The following is a 27704-nucleotide window of genomic DNA, read 5'->3' on the forward strand; positions in this document are numbered from 1 at the left end:
GTTTGATCCTTTGAGTCGTATTATTCAACTCTTTCACTGAATTGTCATCTATCTCTTTTTCTTTAATGTATAGAGAATTTATTATGCACAGCCACTTGCAAACTTTAACAAGTATGATTAGAGCAGCATTTTCTATAACAGCAACACATAAGTTGGAACAACACAAATCTTAAAATAACTGGAATGGATGAGCAAATTGGGTGGTCCGAGGCTCAGACATCAGCAGGTGTTAAACACCTGTGGGAAAGGAGAGAACGATCCATTTATTTATTTCTATAGGAAATGCAAAAGAGGCAAAATTAAGAAAAATACTGCTTCATGATAAAGAATAAAGCCGTGAAGAATATCCACAAAATTGTGTATAGTGGCTACATCTGATACAGAATGGAAACAGCCAGGATAGAGCAGCACAGGAACACTATGAAATGCCCAGGCTGTCTTCATTACTAGTCAGGATTTTTTTTTTTAATTTTGTAAACTTTATTTATTCTCTGCTCCTTTTTCATAATCTAGTGATGCTTTATGTTTTCAAAATATTCTTAAATCTCTCTGAGAATACCGAGAAAGATTTTAAACCAAGTTATCTTCCCTGCATTATCTGTTTCTTCTGGGGTCAGTTGTTTTCTGGTCCATTTTGGTCTTACTCTTTTATTCCTACAACCCCTGCCCCATCCCCATCCTAACTGTAATAATCCTTGATAATCATTGCATATTTATGCTTTTTATGTGTGTGCAGACAACTGTTTTTATGCTTATAGATGCCTTCCTCTGTGTATTTTTTTTCTTCAGTTAAAATTTTTTTTTTTTGCAGTCACAGTCTTGCTCTGTTGCCCAGGCTGGAGTGAAGTGGTGCCAACCTAGCTCACTGCAGGCTCAAACTCATAAGCTTAAGCCGTCCTCCCATTTCAGCCTCCCAAGTAGCTAGTACTACAGGTGCACACTACATGCTGGCTAATTTTTAGATTTCTTTTTTGTAGAGACAGGGTCTCGCAATGTTGCCGGGGCTAGTCTTGAGCTCCAGGCTCAAACGATCCTCTCGCCTTGGACTTCCAAATTGCTGGGATTGGAGGCATGAGCCATCGCACCTAGCCTATGTATGTTTTAAATAGAGTCTATTTCCTCTACTCTGTCATTCTAGTCCTATCTACTTTTGATCTTCCTGGAATTACTGTAAATTTCTGATTTGCTGATAGCACCTTTTCTTATTTGTCGGAGCCGCCATGAATTCGTTTATATAAACTTTTAATTTTACTCCTTTTAGCTACTGTTGTTACCTGTTTTACTTTTATATCTATTTTAAGCCCTACCATACACCGTTATTATTCATGCTTTAAACAATTGTCAGTTGTCTTTTTTTTTTTTAGACGGAGTCTCGCTCTGTCGCCCAGGCTGGAGTGCAGTAAACATGACCTCCGTTGCAACCTCTGCCTTCGGGGTTCAAGCAATTCTCCTGCCTCAGCCTCCCGTGTAGCTGGGATTACAGGCGTGTACCACTATGCCCGGCTAATTTTTATATTTTTAGTACAGACAGGGTTTCACCATGTTGGCCAGGTTGGTCTCGAACTCCTGACCTCAGGTGATTCACCCGCCTCGGCCTCCCAAATGCTGGGATTACAGGCGTGGGCCACCACGCCTGGCTGTCAGTTGCCTTTTAATACATTTAATAAATGGAAGAAGAATAATATTATAATTAATCACATATTTACTATTTTTGAGCTCTTCATTCCTTTCTGTAAACCTGAGTTTACATGTAATATTTCCTTTAATCCACATGATTTTCTTTATCAGTTCTTGAGTGTGAGTTTGTTGGTGATGTACTCTCTCAGCATCCATTTATCTGAAAACATATTTGTTTTGCCTTGAATTTTGAAAATTCTTATTTTTTATAATACAACAGATCCAGTAGTATGAGAATTATTTTTCAGGATTGTAGAATTCTGGGTTGACAGCTTTCCCCCTCTCCCTACCAGTACTTTGTCTTCTGGCCTCCATTACTTCTGAAGCGATGTCAGTTCTATTTCTTGTCTTGGTTCTCCTGTATGTATGTGACTGCTTTTAAGATTATCTTTTTGTCTTTGGTTTTTAGCAGTTTGGCTATAATGTGACTTAAGTATGGATTTGTATAGATTGGATTCAGATGAACTTTTTGGATCGGTGGTTTGATTTTTTTAAACAAACTTGGAAAACATTTAGCCAGTATTTTTTCAAGTATTTCCTCTGTTCCACTTATATGTATCAGACTTTGTTACTCTTGTTGTTCAGTGGTGTGATCACGGCTTTCTGCAGCCTCAAACTCCTGAGCGCAAGTAATCCTCCTACCTCAGCCTCCCAAGTAGCTGGGACTACGGGCACAGAGCACCATGCCCAGCAAATTAAAAAAAAATTTTTTTGTAGAGATGGGGTCTTGCTATGTTGCCAGGGCTAGTCTTGAACTCCTGGACTCAAGCAATCCTCCTGCCTTGGCCTCCCAAAATGTTGGGATTAAAGGCATGAGCCATGACTCCTGGCCTAGATTTCTTGATATTGTAGAGTTTACATATGGCTTCTTTATCTTCATGCATTATATTAATTTTTTACTGTAAATTCTATTACATATGTATCATAGTAAACAAAGTCTTTAAAATAAATTCTAATATTTGGGTCTGCTTTGGGTCCATTTCTATTATATATATTCTTCTTTTCATGTTTAATAAGTTTCAGCTGACTATTGTACATTGTGGGTGATACAGTGTAGAAACTCCGGATGATGTGGATTTCAATCTTTCTCTGAAGTAATGAGTTTTGTTCTAGCAGGCAGTTAAATTTACTAGCAGACCAACTTGATCCTGCGGAGGCTTGGTTTTAGGCTTTGTTGGGACAGGTCTATTTCAGTTTTGCCATTACTTCTGGTAAGTGGCTCTTATTCTTCAAGTGTGGCTTTTCTGGCGTTTCAGTGGAAAGCCTGAGATATTTACCAGTTCCCTCTAACACTAAATCCTGACTCTCCAGGACCAGATAGCTGTTGAAATCTCTTCCCAGTTCTTTCAGATTTCTAGCTATTGCCTGTCCCTGGGCTTCGATTTTCATCCTATGGATGGGAATTCAGGAGTCAGGCCCCACTGACTCCCATTTTCCTGAGATTTCTGCCCTCAATTTTTGGCTTTTCTAGCAGCTCCAAACTTCATTCTCTGATACTTTCACCCAGTAAGACTGCAGCTTTTTACAAGAGCTCTGTCCCCTCCTCTGGCCCCTGCCTGTACACAACAGACTGTGTATGTAGTTGTCTCAGGATGGAAGAAGAGTAAGTATGGGCCTCATTCAGTGTATTCCCCTTCTTTCAAGGGTCATATCCCCCCGATTTGTATCTGCTTTTGTTTCTTTGACAATGCCTTCAAATGGTGTTTTTATAAATATATATTTTTAAAAAGTTTATAATTGTCGTCATCAGGAACATTAGTGTAGTATAAACTACTCTCTCATTATCAAAAATCTGTATGTTAAAAATTACTTAAAATTGTTGTTATTTATCATTTCCTTGGTGTTTGGGGCAGAAGGGAATGCACATGATTTTTCTGAACTTCTCATTAAGGGAGGCAACCCAGCCTTGGTCTGGAGATCCCGAAATTATACCGTATGTATAATAAAATAATTATTTTGTTATTTTTATGAGCATAGCATTAATAAATTAAATATTTAGTAAGATTTGTATCTCAGGATTTTTCTACCTGCTAAGAATAGATCGTTTGACAAGGCAGATGAGGTTCTTTGTTGAATTATAAGGTATTGAAGCCTATAATTTAGTAGTGGAAAGAGCACATAGCAAGAGTTGTATGATGAGGTTGGAGAGGTAAGCAGCAAACAGATAATGGAATTTTAGTCTAAACATTCGTAAAATATGAGGGTGGCTCCTGTGGGAGATTAGGTTATTGGGAGGCAAAGTAGACTTAGGGAAAATAGTTAGGAGGACATTGCAATAGTTCAGGAGAGAAATAATAGCTGTTTAGTGTATGATGGTAGTTGTGGAAAAAAAAGCCAATGGATGGATTTGAAATATAGTTTGGAAGTAAAACTATCAGTACATATTGATGGACTGGATATAGGGGTGAAAAAAGAGAAGAATAAAGGTTGACCAAATTCTTTATTATCTCAAAGTATGAAAGCTTGTTAAGACCTCTTTTCTGTTTGTATTTTCTTTCTTGCTCAATAAGAAAACAACCCAAAGCACTTTTTTTCTAATAACTTATATCTTCTTCTTTTGTGATAAAAAAAAATAGGAGTGGTCTTTAGAGTACAATACAAAATTCTTTTACATTTCACCTCACCATATTTAGGTTTACCAAAGTAGTATAGGAATAATTGTAGGAAAAACATAGTATATCTACTTGGACTATAAAATTTTGGTATACTAAAGAAAGTAAATCAAAATGGTTATATCTTGCAATAGAATGCAAAATCACATGGATATTAAAGGTAAACATTTAAATGTATTTTATATTCTTGGCTTCTTCTTCAGACCACTCCATTGCCTTTTGGGACATTTCTGTGGAAAAGTTGAGAAGCACTGACCTATCTGAACCTTCCAATCCAGCCAAACTTGTCTCTACTTTGTTCCAGGAACATGCTGTGTACATTCCTCTTTCCATGTTTTGCATGCTTTTCTCCCTGCCAATAATGCCCTGTTTTTCATTACTTGTCAAAATTCTATTTTCCTTTTAAGGTCCAGCCTATGTTTTAATTGTTGTGTGAAACTTCTAAAACCTTTCTTTGTTTTAAATAATTATGATCATTTTCTTCTTGTCATTTTGTAGCACTTAATTTTTAAAATTTATTTTGTACTTAGATGATGTGTAATTTACTATAAATCATAGATTTTTAAGAATTGGGAGGAACAGCGGAAATTTAATTAAGTAATTTTATTATACAAGTGAGGAAGCTGAGATTCATTTGTCATGTAAGTAGTTTGCAATAAGAAAGGATGAAACTTATTTTTAGGTCTCTTGGCTCCCAGGTTAGTAATTTTTCTAATCTACTGCATTACTTCTTCATGTATATTTATTGATCTGAAAAGTTGTGTCTCTTAGAATTATGTAGTATATGAGTAAAGTTTGAAAATATGAACTTTTAAAATGTGATATTTGAGGTACTGGTTTTTGAGTGTATGTGTACAGTTGATTAAAATTTATTATAACTTTTATTTACTCTTTCTTTTTTTTTTTTTTTTTTTCGTAGAGACAGGTTCTCACTATGTTGCCCAGGCTGGACTTGAACTCCTGAGCTAAAGTGATCCTCTCACCTTGGCTTCCCAGAGTGCAGGGATTACAGGTGTGAGCCACTGTACCCAGCCTCTTATTTACTCTTTATTCAACAGATTTGTTAATCAACACATGTTGACCAGACTTAATTACAGCTTTTATATACTCTTCATTTATTCAACAACTTTCATGTGTCAGAGAGTATCCTAGGCACTGAGTGCAGTAGTAAATAATACATTAAGGTTCTTACCTTCAAGAAACTTTCATTCTAGTGGTACAAGACAATGAGCAAAATCATAATCTAATCTATGGTGGGAAAATATCAGAACAGCTGTGGCCACTTGAGTGGTTGGAGCAGGGACTGATGGAGAAGGAGCATGGAAGAACTTTCTGGGATGCTGATAATTTCTTAGGGCTTTGGGTTACATAGGTATATGCAGTGTCCAAACTTATTGACTGGTACACTTAAGATTTGTGCATTTGATTGTATTTAGGAGGGAAAATCCTGTAAAACTAGAATAGATGTAACTTATATGAGAGTTATAAATGACAATATGTTAAACACCCATGAAACTACCACCCACCCCAGGAACTAGAATGTTGCCAGCAATTTGCACCTACATATGTGTTTCTCCCTAGCTATTCTCCTGTCTATCTTGCAGAAGTAACCATTGTGTATTGTATTTTGGGATTAACATTTCCTTGATTTTTTATTTTTTTTTTGCGGGGGCGGGGGGAGATTTGTTTAACACATGTATATGCCTAAACAATGTACTATTCAGTTTTGCTTGTTTTTGAAATTTAGAAAAACGGTATTTTACAGCTTACAGTTTTCTATAATTTACTGCTTTTGCAACATTGTATTTTTAAGATTTATCCATGTTGCATAAAGCTATAGTTCATTTATTTTAACAACTGAGGAACAGATTCTGTAGTATAAATGCACAAAAGTATTTACCTATTTTCCTGATAGTTTGGGTTGTTTGCAGTTTTTGCCATTGGAAGCTGAGGCGCAATGAATATTCTTGTAATGTGTCTCTTGGTGTAAATATGCATGAAGTTTGTAACTAGACGTAGAATTGTAGCAGTTCTCAGAACGTGGTCTCTAGAGGATGCCTGGGTATCCTAAAAACCTATTCAAGGGTTTAATGAAATTAAAATGATTTTCATAATAATGCCAAGATGTTAAATGTCTTTTTCATTGAGTTGACATATGCACAAATGGTACAGAAGTAATAGTGAGTTAAACGGCTGGCACCTTAGCACAAATCAAAGCAGTAATGCTGGTTGTAGTTGTGATCATTGTATTCTTTTTCTTTTTCTTTTCTTTTTTTTTTTTTTGAGACAAGGTCTCACTTTGTTACTCAGGTTGGAGTGCAGTGGCATGAGCACAATCACTGCTCACTGCGGCCTCGGTCTCCTGGGCTCAAGTGATCCTATTGTTTTCTTTCTCGTCATGTACTTCCAGGAAAAGAAAAAAGCCAATTCGAGTCACTTATTCTTTTGATTCTTTTTCGTAGCAAAGCATCAATGCATTTTCTAAATGATTGAATTCATTTAAATTCGGGAAACATTTACTGAGTGCCTATGGAATTCTGGGATATGAGTGTATGTTTAAGGCAGTGTGATTTCCAGTTACCATCCTTTCTGTTCTAAACACGATTGTGTCATATTAAAATATAAAAAGAGTAAAAAATATCCTGAATAAAAATAGATCAAGCTGTACATATATATAGATTATAAGTGCAAAATACTGAGTGTGGTTAAAGCCTATGCTATGCTTGCTGGGTTTCCTGTACAGAAGTAGGCATTGGAGACAGTTTTGCTCTTGTGGTACAACATGGATGACTAGAGGCAGGTCCAGGATGTTACTTTTACTGCCAGCCGTCGCTTCCCTCCAAATAGACTATTGGAAGGGGAACCTCCCGCCAAACGCTGCCTACTGCTATAGTGTTGGATAAGTTGCAAGCTTAGGAAGATGAGATGACATGATTTAGGAACTTCAGGATGAAGTGAAGTATCTCCTGCCTTGTGACTGACTGGATCTGCATCGTATCAGATACCTCCTCAAGGCAGGAATTTTAACCTGCTGTTATAAGACCTGGTTCTATATATGGATAGCCCAGGTAGGCTAAGTTGTGGCAGCCACAGATTGTTAGATGAGGAGGGACACCACAGACTGTGTATGTGTGTGTGTTGAGGGCAAGGTGAGGTGAGGAATGGTGCAATGAGCCTGCAAACCAAATTGCAAAATATATGAAGAAATGTAGTGCTAAGAAAAATAGTCAACAAAATTAAAAATTGAAAAATGAATTTTTTCCTGATAAAATTTAAAAATGTAAGTAAACCTCTAATTGAAGTGTAACACACAAACAGGAAAGTATGCTACTCATAAATGCACAGCTTAACAAATTTTCATAAAGTGAACACACCTTTGTTAACCACTACTTAGATCAAGAAATAGAGTATCACCTGAATTACTGGCAGGAGGCACCCCAGAGGTCTCCCTGTACCTCCTGCCAGTTATTCTCCATGCCCTCCCACTATCCCAACCCTGCCAAGCTAACCATTATCCTAACTTTTTTTCACCATGAGAAAGAAATGGAAGGATATGGAAGTGAGCTTGAGAGGCCTCCATGGTCAGTGAACAGTTCTGCTAAAATAATTTAGAGGGAATAACAAAGAAGTAGCATTTGACGGCATAGTAGCTGAGAATTTCCTAGAATAGAAAAAAGACATGAATCTTTAGATTAAAAGTATGTAGTCATTTTTGATCAAGATAAAGAAGAATCTACATCAAAACCTTTCCAAAAATATTGCAGAACATTGCTGCTAATGCAAACAAGTTTTAAACTACTTGAGGGAAAGCCATGACATGTAGGAGTGATAGCAGACTTCATATTTATGTTAATAGATACCACAAAACAATGCAGTAATATCTTTAAAGTTCTGGGGAAAGAAAATTATAAATAGGATTTTGAGAGTGAGGGCAACATATTTTTTTCAAAGACTACAACTTAAAAACCCACAGAGCCCCACTGAAAGGTCTACTAAAAGATACATTTCAGCAGGAAAAAGTGAGTCCTGAAGGAAGACCCAAAACAATGATGAGCACAAAACAATCCAAAGTCAGTGGTGGGCACAAACTGATAAAATTCTAGCAAATTTACTCCTTAATGCTAAGAACTTCGTTTAAATTAACTTTCTATCTTTTCAGAAAACCAACTCTTAGATTTGTTAATCTTTTCCATCATTTTTATAGTTTCTATGTCATTTATTTCTGCTGTGAACTTCATTTTTTCCTTCCTTCTGTTAGCTTTGGGCTTTGTTCTTCTTTTTCTAGTTCCTTGAGGTGTAATGTAATGTTGTTTGACATCTTTCTTCCTTTTTGATGTAGGTATTTATTGCTATAAACTTCCCTCTTATAACTGCTTTTGCTGCATTTAATACTGACTATAATAAGATACGATGTAATAGATTTCAAGGAATTATGTATTTTTGAATAAATTAATTCTTTAAAGTTGCATATCCAGTTGCAGATGAACTTCAAAAATCTTGCAGTTTTATATCTGTTACAGTAATTGCCAGGTTTTGTTGTTGTTGTTTTGATACATTAGAAGTTCTAGAATTGTTATATCCTCTTGATGAATTAATCCCTTTATCATTCTAGAATTACCTTGTCTCTTTACTGTTTGTGACTTAAAGTCTGTTGTATCTGATATACCTTTGCATGGAATATCTTTTTCTATCCCTTTACTTTCAGTCTATGTGTATCTTTAAAGGTGAGATGAGGTTTTGTAAGTGGCATGTAGTTGGGTCATGTTTTTTAGTCCATTTAGCCATTCTCTATCTTTTAAGTGGAAAGTTTAATCTATTTACATTCAAGTTTATTCTTGATATGTGAAGGCTTATTCCTGTCATTTTATTAATTGATTTCTGGTTGTTCTGTAGGTCCTTTGTTCTTTTCTTTCTCTCATATTGTTTAGCATTGTGGTTTGTTGGTTTTCTATAGTGATAACATTTGAATCCTTTCTTGTCTGTGTGTGTTTGCTTTACCAGTGGGTTTGATACTTTCGTCATCTGTTTTTCATAATGGTAGTAATTGTCCTTTTTGTTTGTTTGTTTGTTTCTTTTTTGAGACAGGGTTTTGCTCTTGTTCTGTCCTCCAGGCTGGAGTGCAGTGGTGTGATCATGGCTCACTGCAGCCTCGACCTCCATGGTCTCAGGTGATCCTTCTGCCTCAGCCTCTCAGGTAGCTGGGACTACAGAAACCTGCCACCATGCCTGGCTAATTCTTTTGTATTTTTCGTAGACATGGGGTTTTGCCATGTTGTCCAGGCTGCTCTTGAACTCCTGGGCTCAAGCAGTCTGCCTGCCTCAGCCACCCAAAGTGCTAGGATTACAGGCTTGAGCCACTGTGCCTGGCCTGACATTGTTCTTTGACTTCCATATGTAGAACTCCCTCAAGCATTTCTTGTAGGTCTGGTCTAGTAGTGTTGAATTCCTCAGCTTTTGCTTGCCTCAGAAAAACTATTTTTCCTTTGCTTAATGAAGGATAATTTTGCTGGGTATAGTATCCTTGACTTGCAGGTTTTTTTCTTTCAGCACTTTTCATATATCGTTCCATTCTCTTCCTGGCCTGTAATGATTCTGCTGAGAAATCTGCTGTTAGTCTGATGGAGCTTCCCTTAGAAGTGACTAGACTCTTTTTTCTTGCTGTTTTTAGAATTCTCTCTTTGTCTTTGACAAGCTGTTGTCTCTGACAACAGTTCTCTCTTTGTCTTTGACAAACTGTTGACAGTTTGACTCTAATGTGTTGTGGAGAACCTGTTGGAATTTTGTCTTTTTGGGGATCTCTGAGCTTCTGTATCTGAATGTCTAAATCTCTTGATATACTTGGGTAGTTTTCAGCTATTATTTCATTAACCAGGTTTTCTATTCCTTTTGTATTTTCATTGTCTTCTAGAATACTGAAAATTCTAATATTAGTTTGCTTTATGGTATCCCATATGTCATGCAGGCTTTGTTCATTCTTTTTTCTTTATTTTTGTCTAATGGGGTTATTTCAGAAGACCTGTCTTCAAGTTCAGAAATTCTTTCTTCGTAGATGCTCTAGAATGTATTTTTTATTTCATTAAATGAATTCTTCAGTTTCAGGGTTTCTTGTTTTCTTTTTAAATGATATCTCTCTCTTTGGTAAATTTCTCATTGATATCCTGAGTTGTTTTTCTGGTTTCTTTGTATTGTTTATCTGTATGCGTTTGTATCTCCCTGAGCTTCTTTAATATCATTATTTTTAATTCTTTTTCTGGCATTTCATGAATTTCTTTTGCATTGGAATCTTTTGGTAGAAAATTATTTTGATCCTTTGGAGATGTCATATTTCCCTATGTTCCCATGTTTCTTGTGACCTTACTTCTTTGATATCCACACATCTGGTGTAATCATCACTTCCATTTTTTTGAATTTGCTTTCATAGGGTAGGACTTTTTCCTGAAGATTTGACTGGGGTGTTTGTTGGCCAGGGCACTTTGGGTTTGAATCTGGGTGCATGCAGTAGTGTAGTCTCTGTAAGATTTTTTTTCCTTTGTAAACAGCATCAGTGGTGTCTGTGATTTCCTCAGTGGCATAGTGTGTGGTTGTGGAGGCTGTGGTGAACTTTTGCTGGGGATGGTGACACCAGCTGGACTGATCCTCAGTCCTCAGTTGTGGCAGCAGTTGGACAACCATGCCTGTACATTAGCCCCAGGGTGGCTTACATTAGTAATGGTGTTAGTGGGTCCAGGCAGTCCAATTTTTGGGTCTCCAGGTGACTTGTTTGGGTACCAGGAGTGGCAGTGATGGGCTGGGCAGCTGAGTGGGTCCACAGGCCCCTGGGCAGTGAGCATGGCATGGGTTATGTCAGTAGCAGTGGTAGGAGAACCTCTGGCTGTCCAGTTGTCTGTGCTTATGTCGGCAGTGACGGCGATTGGCTGGGTAGGCAAGTCCTAAAACCTGCAGGTGGCAAGTGTGAGTGGGAACCAGCTGTGGTGGTAGTGGCAGGTTGGGTGGGCCACATCCTCAGACCCCCAGGTGGAATGCTCAGTTGACACTGGACGTGGACAAACTGGTGCGATCCCAAGGCCCCCAGATAACATGCTTGGATACGTGGGAGTGGGGTGCTGAGCTGGGCAGGGTGAGAGTATCCTCAGGCCCTCCAGTGGTGTTAGCAGGTGCTGTTTGTGGTGGGCAGGAGCAGGATGATTTCCAATTTCCTGGTGGAATGTTCAGGTGGGGGCAGCAGTGGCTGTGCTGTGCCCTGATGCTGGGGAGGGTGCAGTTGCTGTCAGTGGGAGCAGTTGTAGGGAGTTGGCTAAGGAGTGTGCACTGCAGCTGCAGGTGGAGGCTGTAGATGTGATGAAGCTGTACTCAGGGTGCATGCAAATTTGCATTTTGACACCTAGCGGCAGCAGCCTGCAATGGTGGCAGCTGTAGGTGGTAGAGCTTGTCCTCAGGGCACATACCAATATATGGCAGCCCTTCTGCTGGGAGCAGTGGGGTTATTGCCAATGGCTTGTGCTTTGGTCCCAGAGGCGGCAGCCAGCAATGGAGGTGACTGTCGGTGGAGGATGTCAGTGGGGCTCTAGGGGTGTGGATATGCAGGGGCTGTTGGGCTCCAGGGTAGGAGGCATTCTGGTGTGGGTTGGGCTTTAAAAATGGCACCGTGCTGTAGCTGCTTAGGACTCAGGGGTGTGTTGGACCAGCATAAGCTCCCTCTCTAAAGCAATGTCATTGTGCAGTCTCCAGGCAGCTCCCTATGTTACTCCCAGGGCCCATGAAAGTTGACGGGCTCTCTTGTGTCTGGGATTGCAGGAGTTTGCAGTGAAAATGTGGGCCACTGGGAGTCTCTCACTTACTCTTTCCCCACATTGTGCAGGCTCTCTAGGCTTCTGGCTGATCCTGGCTGAGCAGGCTGCCCCACTTCCCTCTCCTTCCTTGCATTAGGTGTTTTCTATCACTTCTCTGTTGAATTTCCGTGTTCTCTCTTAGATGACCTATTCAAAGTGTGATTATCTACTCGCTATTTTGGTTCTTCTTTGTGGAGCAGGTGAGTACCAGATAACTCTAGTCAACCTTCTGGACCCCTCTTCCCCCAATTTGAGATCTCTTCTTCTGTTGTCTGTAACTGAGTTTAATGCTTGTTTGTTCATGTTAGGATTTTATATCATCGTCCTCAATTAGGTTGTTAACTGGAATTTTATAATCTTTGTCCACAGGAAGTTTAAAATGTATGATTTCTTGCATTGTGCTTTGTATGTAGTAATACACGATATTTATCCAGTTAATGGATTTGACAGCCATTGCTGTCAAGGAGCAGTCCTTCTTTGTGTATGAAGGGTGCCTTATCAATATTATTTCCATTTGTAACTTTATTTATTTATGTATTCATTTTTGAGACAGGGTCTTGCTGTGTCACCCAGACTGGAGTGCGGTGGAGTGCGGAGGTTTGCTGCAGCCTCATCCTCCCAGGTTCAAGCAATTCTTCCGCTCCACTCCCAGAGTAGCTAGGACTACAAGTGCGTGCTGCCACGCCCAGCTAATTTTTTTCTTTTGTATGTTTTTGTAGAGATGAGGTTTCACCATGTTGCTGAGGCTTGTCTCCAACTTCTGGGCTCAAGCTATCTGCCCGCCTCGGCCCCGCAAAGTGCTAGGATTACAGGTGTGAGACACTGCGCCCAGCCCATTTGTAACTTTATTGTTTTCTCTTACAGGCAAATGTTCTGAAAAAGACTCTGCATGGGAATGGCCTGCCTTACGATGACAGAAATGGAGGGAACATCCACCTCTTCTATATATCAGAATGGTGATATTTCTGGAAATGCCAATTCTATGAAGCAAATAGATCCAGTTCTTCAGGTGTATCTTTACCATTCCCTTGGGAAATCTGAGGCAGATTATCTGACCTTTCCATCTGGGGAGTATGTTGCAGAAGAAATCTGTATTGCTGCTTCTAAAGCTTGTGGTAAGTATTAAAAAACAGCATTTTCCTTTTTATGCATGGATTGTTTTAATTATGCTATGCTAATACTAGGTACATGCATAATATATATTTTTATTTTTTTAATGCTTGTATGGCTGGCGTGTGTGTTTTCACATGCATAGAAAATGAAAGTGTTACTGGAGTACAATTTATGGTGAATCTGCCTTGGGCTAGGTATCAAAACAAATTGATGCCCATAAATGTTTGCTGACTATTCTTTATAATTACATATAAGGTGGTTAAAAAATCCTGTCATGGGCTATCTCATGACATAAGGTAATATTAAAGCTAGATCCTGAGAGCAACATGAAAGCAAAAAATTAATGTTTTGAAATATGTATTTGATTTAAAATCTTGATTAAATGGCTGACAAACCATCATTTTCTTCTAGTTAGCTTCTGAAGACCTCTGCCAATCTTTCCTCATATATATTTCTTATGTCTTTGGTGTATCTTGAAATCATTTTTACTCTTGAGACCTGATTATATTATCTATGGACCAAAACTGTGAACCAGAGAACTCTTTCTATAGAGCTAACACATTTTACTAGACCACTGAGGTTACTATAGAGCCTACTATCATGGTATCTCATTTTTAAATGTTCTTTTAATAGAAAGACTAGTTGACACTATTTTGAAGAATAGTCGTATGATTTTATTTGTAGAGGCAAATTAAATGTCTAATATAGTATTTATAAGAATGTATGATTACATCAATTTATTCTCTTATTTAAGATCAGTATAGGTCAGAATAACCATTAACTGTAAGTTGGAGGAAGCTAGGTACATTTCAAGTTCCTTCTAGCTATTTTGAAAAATACAATACATTGTTGTTAACTATAGTCACCCTACTCTTCTATCAAACATTTGAACTTGTTCCTTCTGTCTGTATTTTTGTGCCCATTAACCAACATCTCTTCATTTCCCTCTTCCCACCCATATAACCTTGCCAGTCTCTGCTACCAATCCACTCTACCTTCATGTGATCAACTTTTTAGCTCCCACATATGAATGAGAACTTGTTATATTTGTCTTTCAGTTCCTGGCTTATTTCACTCGACATAATGACCTTCAGTTCCATCCATGTTGCTGTGAATGACATGATTACATTCTTTTTTACGATGCCACTGGGCCCCAGGGGAGTACGCATTCTGTTGTGAGCTGGGCTTCAAAATATCACCTTGCTGTAGCTGCTTAGGACTCGGGGGGAGCGTGGGACCCAGTGTGAACTTCCTCACTGGAATAGGAAATGCTTTTGTGCTGTCTCTGGGCAGCCCTCTATGTGAATTTTTTGTCCTGCAAGGGGCTAGGGTCTCTCCTGTGACTAAAATTCCAGGGGTTCACAGTAGGAATGTGGACCATTGGGCATCTCTAACTTAACCTTTCCCTGTGTGGAGTCTCTCCTAGCTTCTTGCCAATCCCGGCTGGGCAGGCTGTCTTGTTTCGTCTCCTTCCTTGCTTTTCTGTTGAATACCAGTGTTCCTCTTGGATAATCTACTCAAAGTGTGATTATATACTCATGGTTTTAGTTTTTAGTGGGGAAGTGGATATGAGAGACCTCTGGTCAGTTATCTTGACTATATTGTAAAGTCTGTATTTTTTGTTGTGTGTAGTCTCTGAAATCTCTGATCCTTTAGCTTATAGTAAGATTTTAGCTTGTAAGATTTTTTTAGCTTTTAAGATTTTTTAGCTTGTAAGATATTTTTTAGCTAGTAAGATTTTAGCTTGTAAGATTTTTAGCTTGGGCCGGGCACGGTGGCTTACACCTGTAATCCCAGCACTTTGGGAGGCTGAGGCAGGCAGATCACAAGATCAGGAGATCGAGATCATCCTGGCTAATATGGTGAAACCTCATCTCTGCTAAAAATACAAAAAATTAGCCAGGTGTGGTGGTGGGCACCTGTAGTCCCAGCTACTTGGGAGGCTGAGGTGGGAGAATGGCATGAACCCAGGAGGCGGAGCTTGCAGTGAGCCGAGATTGCGCCACTGCACTCCAGCCTGGGCGACAGAGCGAGACTCCATCTCAAAAAAAAATTTTTTTTTGGCTTGTAAGATTCATTTTTAGCATGTAAGATTTTGCTTTAGCTTGTAAGATTTTTTTTTGACAGATTTTATTGAATTCCTAGGGCCAAAAGAAAATAATAGAAAAGAACAAAAAACTCTTTCAGTCTTTGCAGATTGGCTCTGTGTTGGGGCTCTCATTCAGTGTTTACCCAGTCCATTTACAACTCTGCCTTAGCCTTCCCTTCCTGCTTGTGCTGACTCTAAAGAACAGCTTGAGGTGAAAGCTTAGGGTCTTTTCTTCTAAGTTCTGTTCCTTGGGCATGCATATGGCTTTTCTACTCTCCAATACATAGAAATGCTTTTCAGTGCTGTCATTTCCCAAATAAACTCTCCTCTGTCATCTCTGTTTTGGTTTTCAGTGTGTTTATTGTTTGCCTCAACTTTAGACCTCTGCCCCAGATAGCAACAGCTTGTTCATTTGCAATGTTTTCAATGAATATCTTCTGTGAAGCTGCTTTTCTGCCCTGAGAAAGTCCTGAATTAAGTGGAACATAGGTGTGCTCTTTGCATCATTTCTTCAGTCAGTCCCCAGTCAGGGCAAAAGAGAGAAAAACAGTTTTTTGAGATTAAGGTTGGCTCTGTTCACTCCAGAGCCAGGGACCAGAGTTTCACACTGGGAGCACCAATTGCCATCTTCAAGACTTTGCTTAACTAGGGGGAGTGGAGCCGGGGCTGGTGGGCAGGACATGGGCGTAGTGGGTGGTTAAGGGAAAGTAAAAATGCTGCACAACTTTCCTGCCATTTTTAAGTGGCTGTTTTCTTGATTCAGCATTTATCTGATTGCTGCATATCTTTGCCTATTTTCTGTAGTTTATATGAAGTTCATTCTGACAGTTTTTACTCATTTTTTTTTTCCTGTTTCTGGGAGAAGGATAGGTCCTTGGAACTACCTACTCCACCATTTTCACTGATGTTACTCTTTTACTTTTCTAATCATGGAAGTAAAGTTTAAGATTTTTCTATCTATATTGGTGAGATTACCCTTGGTATCGTAGTCAAACTAAATTCACAAAATGTGTCAATTTCTCTGTTCGCTCTTGGTCTATTCTCTGTGATAGTATACTTAAGATGGAATTGTCTTTCATGTTTGGTTGAACTCAAATATAAATCTTGTCTGGGCCTGATGGTGGTTTTTTCTTTCTTCATTGTTATTTTGTTATTCTTCTTCCTTCCCTTCTTCTGTCTCTTTCTTGCTCCTTCTTTCTTTTCTTCTTCTTTTGTTTAAGTGGATAGAGTTTGTTTCCTTTTTTTTTTTTTGAGACTGAGTCTTGCTCTGTTGCCCAGGCTGGAGTGCAGCAGCATGATTATGGCACACTGCCACCTCCGCCTTCCAAGTTCAAGTGATTCATTTCCCTCAGCCTCCTGACTAGCTGGACTACAGGCACCCACCACCACACCCAGCTAATTTTTGTATTTTTGGTAGAGACGGGGTTTGCCATGTTGGCCAAGCTTATCTCAAACTCCTGACTTCAGGTGATCCACCTGCCTCGGCCTCTCAAAGTGTGTGAGCCACTGCACCCAGCCAGAATCTATTTCTTTAATGGTTATAGTTCTGTTGAAGTTTTAAATTAATGAATCTTTTTAAAGTTACATTTTCACAAAAATTGTCCATCTGTCTATATTTTCAAGTTTATTGGCATAATGTTGTTCTAGCACTCTTTGTCTTCATAACTTATAATTATGCTTTTTAAAAGTTCTTAGTGTTTATCTGTGCCTCTTTTTTTCTTATTATCCTTGACAAAGATCTATTTTGCAAAGAATCATCTTTTATTTTGTTACTTCTCCCTATTGGATTTTTATCATGTCCATCTCTAACCTTTCTTTGGGATTACTCTATTGTCTTCTACTATATTGAGTTAGATACTTAGATCATTTGCTCTTATTTTCTAATATAAGCAGATAAAGCTACAATTTTTCCTCTTGAGTTTCACCTTAGTTGTATTCCACAATTTTTAGTACATGATATTGGTAATCATTATTCATTATAAATGCCTCCCAATGTATTTTTCCTTTGACTTCTGAGTTATTTGGAAGTTATTTGTAAATAAAAGAATGAATGCAAGTATACTGTTTAAAAGTTGCTGCTAAATAATGTTATTATAAATAACTTACCGAAATTATTACACATCTGTAAGTAGACGGTCGTGTTAATAATTTAAATTAAGAATTTAAGTCTTTCTTGTCAGTTTGTCATTTGTGCCGTTTCTATCTACAGTGGAAAATAGTGAAAACATAACTAGAATAAAATACTTTTGTGTTCTGTGAGCCTTATGTTTTAAATATATAGGATTAAAAAAATTTTACATATTCATTTCTGATTTAATTGAAGTGTGGTTAGAGAACATGGTATGAATGGTTATTCTGTGGAACTTCTAAAGACTTGTTTTGAGTTCACGTGATTGTTGTGTTTGTGCTTGTGTGTGTACGTGTATGCGTATGTGTGAATGTTCTATATATGCTTGAAAATAGCTTGTATTATTTACTTGTGTGGTTTAGGTATTCTCTTGGTTTTTTAGTTCAGTGGCTTTCAACCATTTGTTGATGTACCTTCTAAAATATCTTTTAAGAAATTACATATGCACTCACATTTTAAGTTGATATTTAAAATTTTTCATTGTAAATTAAAATAGCCCAAAGGACATAATTATTAATGTATTGTGTAAAACTTGACACATTGTTCTTTTAAGAGTATTCATGACTTCTAAATATTTTTGTGATTTGATACCTATTAATTAAAACAACTCCTTCTGTGCAACCACATGCAAGCATGGATTTTTATTATACCTCCAGTTCAGGGAAACTTGAAAATTTGAACCAACCTTTCTATAGAGGACAACTGAAGAAACCAGATGAAATGTTTTAAAAATATCTGCTTGAAAGAGTCTCAGCAGTTATATTTTAAAATACTGACACACCTCGGAGATATTGTGGGTTTGGTTCCAGACTATCGCAGTGAAGCAAATATTGCAATAAAGCAAATCACATGAAGTTTTAGGTTTCCCAGTGCATATAAAAGTTATGTTTAAATTATTCTGTAGTCTGTTAAGTATGCAATAATATTATGTCCAAAAAAGTACATACCTTAATTTAAAAATACTTTATTGTCAAAAAGCACTCATAATCATCTGAGCCTTCAGTGAGTCATAATCTTTTTGTTAGTGGAGAGTCTTGCCTTGATGTTGATGGCTACTGACTGACCAGGGTGGTGGCTGCTGAAGGTTGGGTGGCTATGGCAATATCTTAAAATAAGACAATGAAGGTTGCTGCATCAGTGGACTCTTCCTTTCGTGAAAGATGTCTCTGTAGTATGCAATGCTATTTGATAGCATTTTACCCGCAGTAGAACTTCTTTGAAAATAGGAAGTTGATTCACTCAAACCCTGCCACTGCTTTGATTAAGTTGATGTAGTATTATAAATCCTTTGTTGTCATTTCAACAATATTCACAGCATCTTCACCAGGAATAGATTCCATCTCAAGAAACCACTTTCTTTGCTCATCCATAAAAAGCAATTCCTTATATGTCCAAGTTTTATCGTGAGATTACAGCAATTCAGTCACGTCTTCAAGCTCCACTTCTAATTTTAGTTCTCTTGTTACTTCTACCACATCTGCAGTGACTTCCTTCACTGAAGATTAAATCCCTCAAAGATACCCATGAGAGCCAGAATCAGCTTCTTCCAAACTCCTGTTAATGTTGACATTTTGACCTCCTCTCATGAACTACAAATGTTTTTCATGACGTCTAGAATGGTGAACTCTTTCCATAAGTTTTTTTATTTACTTTGCTTAGATCTGTGAGAGGAAACACTGTGACAGCCATAACCTTACTAAATGTGTTTCCCAAATAATAAGATTTGAAAGTCAAATTGCTCCTTATCCATGGGCTGCAGAATGGATGTTGTGTTAGCAGGCATGAAAACAACATGAAATTCAATGTACATCTTCATCAGAGCTCTTGGGTGACCAGGTGCATTGTCAATGAGTAATAATACTTGGACAGGAATCTTTTTTTCTGAGCTTTAGGTCTCAACGGTGGCTTAAAATATTCAGTAAACCACGCTATATACAGATGTGCTATCTTCTAGGCTTTGTTGTCCCATTTATAGAGCACAGGCAGGGTAATTGAGCATAGTTCTTAATGGCCATAGATTTTCAGAATGGTCAATAAGCATTGGCTTCAACTAAAAGTCACTTGTTGCATTAGCTCCTCAGAAGAGAGTCATTCAGTTCTTTGAAACTTTGAAGGCAAGCACTGACTTCTTTCTAGCTATGAAACTACTCCTAGATGGTATCTTCTTCCAATAGAAGGCTGTTTTGTCTACACTGAAAATCTATTGTTTATCAGTGATCTTTGTTAGATCTTTGGATAACTTGCTGCATCCTCTCCATCAACACTTGCTGCTTCACCTTGCACTTTTATGTTAGGGACATGGTTTCTTTTCTTAAACCTCATGAACCAGCCTCTACTAGCTTCTTGCTTTTCTTCTGCAGCTTCCTCACCTCTCTCAGCCTTCACAGGTTTGAAGACAATTAGGGCCTTGCTCTGGTTTAGGGTTTGGCTTGAGGGAATATTGTGGCTGGTTTGATCTTCTATCTAGACCACTCAAACTTTTGTCACATCATCAATAAGGCTGTTTTGCTCTCTTATCATTTATGTATTTACTGCAGTCGCATTTTTAATTTCATTCAAAAACTTTTTCTTTGCATTCAGAACTTGATTGACTGGTGCAGGAGGCCTGGCTTTTAGCCTCTCTTGGCTTTTAATAATACCTTCCTCACTTAGTTTAATTATTTCTAGCTTTTGATTTAAAGTGAGAGATATGAAACTCTTTAATATATGAAACTCTTCCTTTCCCTTGAATGCCTAGAGGCCATTGTAGGATTATTAATTGGCCTAATTTCCATATTGTTGTGTCTCAGGGAATAGAGAGGCCTAAGGAGAGGGAGAGACACAGGAATGGCTGTTGCTGGAGCGGTCAGAACACACACAGCATTTGTTGCTTATGTTTGTCATCTTATATGGGCACGGTTCATAGCGGCCCCAAATGATTACAATTGTAATGTCAAAGATCACTGATCACAGATCATCATAACTGATATAATAATAAAAAAGTTTGAAGTATTGCAAGAATTACCAAAATGTGACATAGGGACACAAAGTGAGCACGTGCTGTTGGAAAAATGGTGCTGACAGACTTACTAGATTCACACTTGCTCTAAATCCTTATTTTGTAAAGAAAAAAACCCCACAATATCTGCAAAGTACAATAATGCAGGGTGCACTAAAATGAAGTATGTTTGTATAAAAAAAGATTGTGATTAATAATTCAGTTGTAGGGGTTGGTATATCAAAAGATTTCGACTGCTATTACATTTTGTTCCGATTTTAAGAGTTGTTACTTTAGCTTCATTTCAAATTATAGGTGCTATGTAAAAATATTCTGTTGTGTACCTTTAATAATTCCTTTCTCTGCTTCTTTTCTAGGTATCACACCTGTGTATCATAATATGTTTGCTTTAATGAGTGAAACAGAAAGGATCTGGTATCCACCCAACCATGTCTTCCATATAGATGAGTCAACCAGGCATAATGTACTCTACAGAATAAGGTACTTTCTTCAGTAAAGTAACTCACTTAATGCTAAAAGGCAAAATGGGAGAAATTATCAAATATTTTTTAATTGCAAGGTACTTAATACCAGATACCTGAACCAATTAGTTAGCACTCATTTAAGATTTCATTTAAGATTCTATTCTGTTTCTCCATCAGAGAAACTGTTTATACATGTTGTGTAAGTAGAATACTCTGAGAATAAAGCTGTTTTGGTGGGATGCCACTTAACTCCTTATGATTATAATTAAATAAGTAAACAAAATCACAGTGGCCTTTATTAACAAAATCCTAAATGTTTGGGATATTGCTGGTTTGTGCAGCGTTTTGTGCAATAGAATGCAATTTCACATCTTATCTTTATAAAGAACTTTTTAAAAAGTTGACGTGAAGAAAAGAGACTTTTCCCAGTGTGTATTTGCAGCCTCAAATTGTAAGTTAATTTATATAATTTATGGTAATGTGTAATGCCTATTTAGAGAAATCTAGAAGTATTTTTTTGCTCGAAAGGATGAAACAAAGATACGTTTGATTTGTGTCTCACAAATACCTGTGATTTTTCTAAGCATTTATATACATATATATATAATTCATCATAACTTCATGAGGTGTTAAGATTTCCACATTAAAGATAAAGAATTTGGAGCACTGAGAAGTAATATTACTCAAATTTATTCATGGTCACACAGGTAGGAATTGGGAGTCAGGTTCAAATCCAAGCCTGGTTTGCTTCATAAGCTTGCCTCTTAATCACCTCATGTGTACTTCATTAAAGAGATAATGTATATATAATATTTATTATTGTGCCTATCACTTGGTGCTCTCTCAATAAATTTTAGTATTGTTTTGCTTCTTTCTCTTCCCCTATTCTATATAAAAATATGCAGTTGGATGTGTTTGCATTTACTGATGTCTAATGTATAATTTGCACTGAGTTCAAAAAAATATTTTTTATATAATTATTGAAAAGACAATTGGTGAAAAAAATAAATGTTCAAAGAAATAATAGATGTACAAAAATCAACAGCATTCTTATATGCAAGCAACCAGTTATATAATAGATAAAGAAGATCCTATGCAGTGTAGCTACAAAAACCCTTAACTAACCAGGAATGGTCTTAATAAGAAAAAACAGAAGACAGTATAGGAAAATTAGAAAGTTATTTGAAGAATATGAAGAATTAGGACATAACATTGGAATGGGGAGATGGAATATTACAAAGATCAATTTCTCTTATGCTATATCCTTAGCTCTAAGCCAATCAAAATCCTAACAAAGGCATTTTACGGAATTTGACACATTACTATGTAAATTGAGAATTATTAAATAAGATAGCCATGAGAAAGAAGACTTACCTGGCAATTGTAAAATATTTTGTCCCAGGAGATATTTTCACATTATATGAAACTACAAAATGGTATCTATTATTAAAGCCACATAATTAAATTCAGAATCATAAACTAAATAATGAGAATGATGGGGCCAGTATATCTTGAAAGTACTCCTTCATACATATAGAAACATAATAATATGAAGAAATCTTTTCATATTAACGTGGAAGGGAGAGATTAGTCAACAAATGGTGGTAGAATAGTTGATTAGCTGTTTGAATAAAATTTTAGCTTCTTACTTTATAATGTATATCAGATAAATTATAGATTGATTAAAGATCAGATTGATATGTAAATAGAAATGTAAAGAAAATCAAACTATAAAAGTCTGAATTGGAACTGAATTCAAGTCCTTGGGAAAATACCATTTAAGTTGCAAAACAATAGAAAAAATCATATGGGAATGACTGCAATTGTCAACTATAAAAATTTTCAAATGTCTGAAGGTTTCCTCTTAAAATGAAAAGGCAGGAGGGTGGAGCCAAGATGACTGAATAGGAACAGGTCCAGTCTACAGCTCCCAGCATGGGCGATGCAGAAGACGGGTGATTTCTGCATTTCCAACTGAGGTGTACCGGGTTCGTCTCACTGGGGAGTGTAGGAAAGTGAGTGTAGGACAGTGGGTGCAGCACACTGAGCATGAGCCGAAGCAGGGCGAGGCATCGCCACACCCGGGAAGCGCAAAGGGTCAGGGAATTCCCTTTCCTAGTCAAAGAAAGGGGTGACAGACGGCACCTGGAAAATCGGGTCACTCCCACTCTAATACTGCGCTATTCTAACGGTATTAGCAAATGGCACATATCCCGCGCCTGGCTCAGAGGGTCCTACGCCCACGGAGCCTCGCTCATTGCTAGCACAGCAGTCTGAGATCAAACTGCAAGGTGGCAGCGAGGCTGGGGGAGGGGCGCCCGCCATTGCCGAGGGTTGAGTAGGTAAACAAAGCAGCCAGGAAGCTCAAACTGGGTGGAGCCCACCACAGCTCAAGGAGGCCTGCCGGCCTCTGTAGACTCCACCTCTGGGGGCAGGGCATAGCCAAACAAAAGGCAGCAGAATCCTTTGCAGACTTAAATGTCCCTGTCTGACAGCTTTGAAGAGTAGTGGTTCTCCCAGAATGCAGCTGGAGATCTGAGAACGGACAGACTGCCTCATCAAGTGGGTCCCTGAACCCCGAGTAGCCTAACTGGGAGGCACCCCCAAGTAGGGGGAGACTGACACCTCACATGGCCGGGTACTCCTCTGAGACAAAACTTCCAGAGGAACAGTCAGGCAGCAACATTTGCTGCTCACCAATATCCGCTGTTCTGCAGCCACTGCTGCTGGTACCCAGGCAAACAGGGTCTGGAGTGGACCTCCAGCAAACTCCAACAGACCTGCAGCAGAGGGTCCTGACTGTCAGAAGGAAAACTAACAAACAGAAATGACATCCACACCAAAACCCCATCTGTATGTCACCATCATCAAAGACAAAAGGTAGATAAAACCACAAAGATGGGGAAAAAACAGAGCAGAAAAACTGGAAACTCTAAAAATGAGAGCACCTCTCCTCCTCCAAAGGAACGCAGCTCCTTACCAGCAACGGAACAAAGCCGGATGGAGAATGACTTTGACAAGTTGAGAGAAGAAGGCTTCAGACGATCAAACTACTCCAAGCTAAAGGAGGAAGTTTGAACTCATGGCAAAGAAGTTAAAAACCTTGAAAAAAAATTAGACAAATGGCTAACTAGAATAACCAATGCAGAGAAGTCCTTAAAGGACCTGATGGAGCTGAAAACCAAGGCACGAGAACTACGTGATGAATGCACAAGCCTCAGTAGCCGATTCAATCAATAGGAAGAAAGGGTATCAGAGATGGAAGATGAAATGAATGAAATGAAGTGAGAAGAGAAGTTTAGAGAAAAAGGAATAAAAGGAAACAAACAAAGCCTTCAAGAAATATGGGACTATGTGAAAAGACCAAATCTACGTCTCATTGGTGTACCTGATGGGGAGAATGGAACCAAGTTGGAAAACACTCTGCAGGATATTATCCAGGAGAACTTCCCTAATCTAGCGAGGCAGGCAAACATTCAAATTCAGGAAATAGAGAGAACGCCACAAAGATACTCCTTGAGAAGAGCAACTCCAACACACATAATTGTCAGATTCACCAAAGTTGAAATGAAGGAAAAAATGTTAAGGGCAGCCAGAGAGAAAGGTTGGGTAACCCACAAAGGGAAGCCCATCAGACTAACAGCAGATCTCTTGGCAGAAACTCTACAAGCCAGAAGAGAGTGGGGGCCAATATTCAACATTCTTAAAGAAAAGAATTTTCAACCCAGAATGTCATATCCAGCCAAACTAAGCTTCATATGTGAAGGAGAAATAAAATCCTTTACAGACAAGCAAATGCTGAGAGATTTTGTCACCACCAGGCCTGCCCTAAAAGAGCTCCTGAAGGAAGCACTAAACATAGAAAGGAACAACTGGTACCAGCCACTGCAAAAACACGCCAAATTGTAAAGACCATCGAGGCTAGGAAGAAACTGCATCAACTAATGAGCAAAATAACCAGGTAACGTCATAAAGACCGGATCAAATTCACCCATAACAATATTAACCTTAAACGTAAATGGGCTAAATGCTCCAATTAAAAGACACAGACTGGTAAACTGGATAAAGAGTCAAGACCCATCAGTGTGCTGTATTCAGGAAACCCATCTCACGTGCAGAGACACACATAGGCTCAAAATAAAGGGATGGAGGAACATCTACCAAGCAAACGGAAAACAAAAAAAGGCAGGGATTGCAATCCTAGTCTCGGATAAAACAGACTTTAAACCAACAAAGATCAAAAGAAACAAAGAAGGCCATTACATAATGGTAAAGGGATCAACTCAACAAAAAGAGCTAACTGTCCTAAATATATATGCACCCAATACAGGAGCACCCAGATTCATAAAGCAAGTCCTTAGAGACCTACAAAGAGACTTAGACTTCCACACAATAATAATGGGAGACTTTAACACCCCACTGTCAACATTAGACAGATCAACAAGACAGAAAGTTAACAAGGATATCCAGGAATTGAATTCAGCTCTGGACCAAGCAGACCTAATAGACATCTACAGAACTCTCCACCCCAAATCAACAGAATATATATTTTCAGCACCACACCACACCTATTCCAAAATTGACCACATAGTTGGAAGTAAAGCACTCCTCAGCAAGTGTAAAAGAACAGAAATTATAACAAACTGTCTCTCAGACCACAGTGCAATCAAACTAGAACTCAGGATTAAGAAACTCACTCAAAACCACTCAACTACATGGAAACTGAACAACCTGCTCCTGAATGACTACTGGGTACATAACGAAATGACGGCAGAAATAAAGATGTTCTTTGAAACCAACGAGAACAAAGACACAACATACCAGAATCTCTGGGACACATTCAAAGCAGTGTGTAGAGGGAAATTTATAGCACTAAAGGCCCACAAGAGAAAGCAGGAAAGATCCAATTGACACCCTAACATCACAATTAAAAGAACTAGAAAACCAAGAGCAAACACATTCAAAAGCTAGCAGAAGGCAAGAAATAACTGAGATCAGAGCAGAACTGAAGGACATAGAGAGACAAAAAACCCTTCAAAAAAATCAATGAATGCTGGAGCTGGTGTTTTGAAAAGATCAACAAAATTGATAGACTGCTAGCAAGAATAATAAGAAAAGAGAGAAGAATCAAATACATGCAATAAAAAATGATAAAGGGGATATCAACCCGATCCCACAGAAATACAAACTACCATCAGAGAATACTATAAACACCTCTACATGAATAAACTAGAAAATCTAGAATAAATGGATAAATTCCTGGACACATACACCCTCCCAAGACTAAACCAGAAAGAAGTTGAATCTCTGCATAGACCAATAACAGGCTCTGAAATTGAGGCAATAATTAATAGTTTACCAACCAAAAAAAGTCCAGGACCAGATGGATTCACAGCTGAATTCTACCAGAGGTGCAAAGAGGAGCTGGTACCATTCCTTCTGAAACTATTCCAATCAATAGAATAAGAGGGAATCCTCCCTAACTCATTTTATGAGGCCAGCATCATCCTGATACCAAAGCCTGGCAGAGACACAACCAAAAAGGAGAATTTTATACCAATATCCTTGATGAACATTGATGCAAAAATCCTCAACAAAATACTGGCAAACCGAATCCAGCAGCACATCAAAAAGCTTATCCACCATGATCAAGTGGGCTTCATGCCTGGGATGCAAGGCTGGTTCAACATATGCAAATCAATAAACGTAATCCAGCATATAAACAGAACTAACGGCAAAAACCATATGATTATCTCAGAGGCAGAAAAGGTCTTTGGCAAAATTCAACAACCCTTCATGCTAAAAACTCTCAATAAATTAGGTATTGATGGGACGTGTCTCAAAATAATAAGAGCTATCTATGACATACCGACAGCCAATATCATACTGAATGGACAGAAACTGGAAGCATTCCCTTTGAAAACTGGCACAAGACAGGGATGCCCTCTCTCACCACTCCTATTCAACATAGTGTTGGAAGTTCTGGCCAGGGCAGTCAGGCTGGAGAAGGAAATAAAGGTTATTTGATTAGGAAAAGAGGAAGTCAAATTGTCCCTGTTTGCAGATGACATGATTGTATATCTGGAAAACCCCATCGTCTCAGCCCAAAATCTCCTTAAGCTGATAAGCAACTTCAGCAAAGTCTCAGCATACAAAATCAATGTGCAAAAATCACAAGCGTTCTTACCCACCAATAACAGACAAACAGAGAGCCAAATCATGAGTGAACTCCCATTCACAATTGCTTCAAAGAGAATACCTAGGAATCCAACTTACAAGGGATGTGAAGGACCTCTTCAAGGAGAACTACAAACCACTGCTCAATGAAGTAAAAGAGGATACAAACAAATGGAAGAACATTCCATGCTCATGGGTAGGAAGAATCAATATTGTGAAAATGGCCATACTGCCCAAAGTCCTTTATGGATTCAATGCCATCCCCATCAAGCTACAGATGACTTTCTTCACAGAATTGGAAAAAACTACTTTAAAGTTCATATGGAACCAAAAAAGAGCCCACATTGCCAAGTCAATCCTAAGCCAAAAGAACAAAGCTGGAGGCATCACGCTACCTGACTTCAAACTATACTACAAGGCTACAGTAACCAAAACAGCATGGTACTGGTATCAAAACAGAGATATAGACCAATGGAAAGAAATAATGCTACCTATCTACAACCATCTGATCTTTGACAAACCTGACAAAAACAAGAAATGGGGAAAGGATTCCCTATTTAATAAATGGTGCTGGGAAAACTGGCTAGCCATGTGTAGAAAGCTGAAACTGGATCCCT

At 38.2% G+C, this 27704-nt stretch overlaps 2 protein-coding genes across 9 annotated transcripts in view, besides 1 other annotated feature; one reads left to right on the top strand and one right to left on the bottom strand.

The window, feature by feature from the left end:
• Positions 1-27704, top strand: part of JAK2 (Janus kinase 2) — a 145559-nt gene that overhangs the window by 24591 nt on the left and 93264 nt on the right. For all 8 annotated transcript variants that reach the window (NR_169763.1, NR_169764.1, NM_001322194.2 and 5 more), the window contains 2 exons: positions 12983-13233; positions 20803-20926. Coding sequence is in view for 4 of the 8 variants with exons in the window: in NM_001322194.2 (NP_001309123.1) it covers positions 13008-13233; positions 20803-20926 (350 nt within the window). In the remaining 4 variants the exon portion in view is untranslated. The remainder of the gene's footprint in view (positions 1-12982; positions 13234-20802; positions 20927-27704) is intronic.
• Positions 1-27704, bottom strand: part of INSL6 (insulin like 6) — a 193664-nt gene that overhangs the window by 17005 nt on the left and 148955 nt on the right. The gene's annotated exons all lie outside the window — the stretch shown is intronic.
• Positions 16469-16763: a silencer, noted in NCBI's record as "tiled region #14989; HepG2 Repressive non-DNase unmatched - State 24:Quies, and K562 Repressive non-DNase unmatched - State 15:Elon". NCBI's record gives its function as "represses a minimal TATA promoter and a strong SV40 promoter by Sharpr-MPRA in HepG2 and K562 cells {active_cell/tissue: HepG2 | K562}" and the evidence as "EXISTENCE:reporter gene assay evidence [ECO:0000049][PMID:27701403]".

The sequence above is a fragment of the Homo sapiens genome, chromosome 9 (assembly GCF_000001405.40).
Source record: "Homo sapiens chromosome 9, GRCh38.p14 Primary Assembly".
Lineage (NCBI taxonomy): Eukaryota > Metazoa > Chordata > Mammalia > Primates > Hominidae > Homo > Homo sapiens.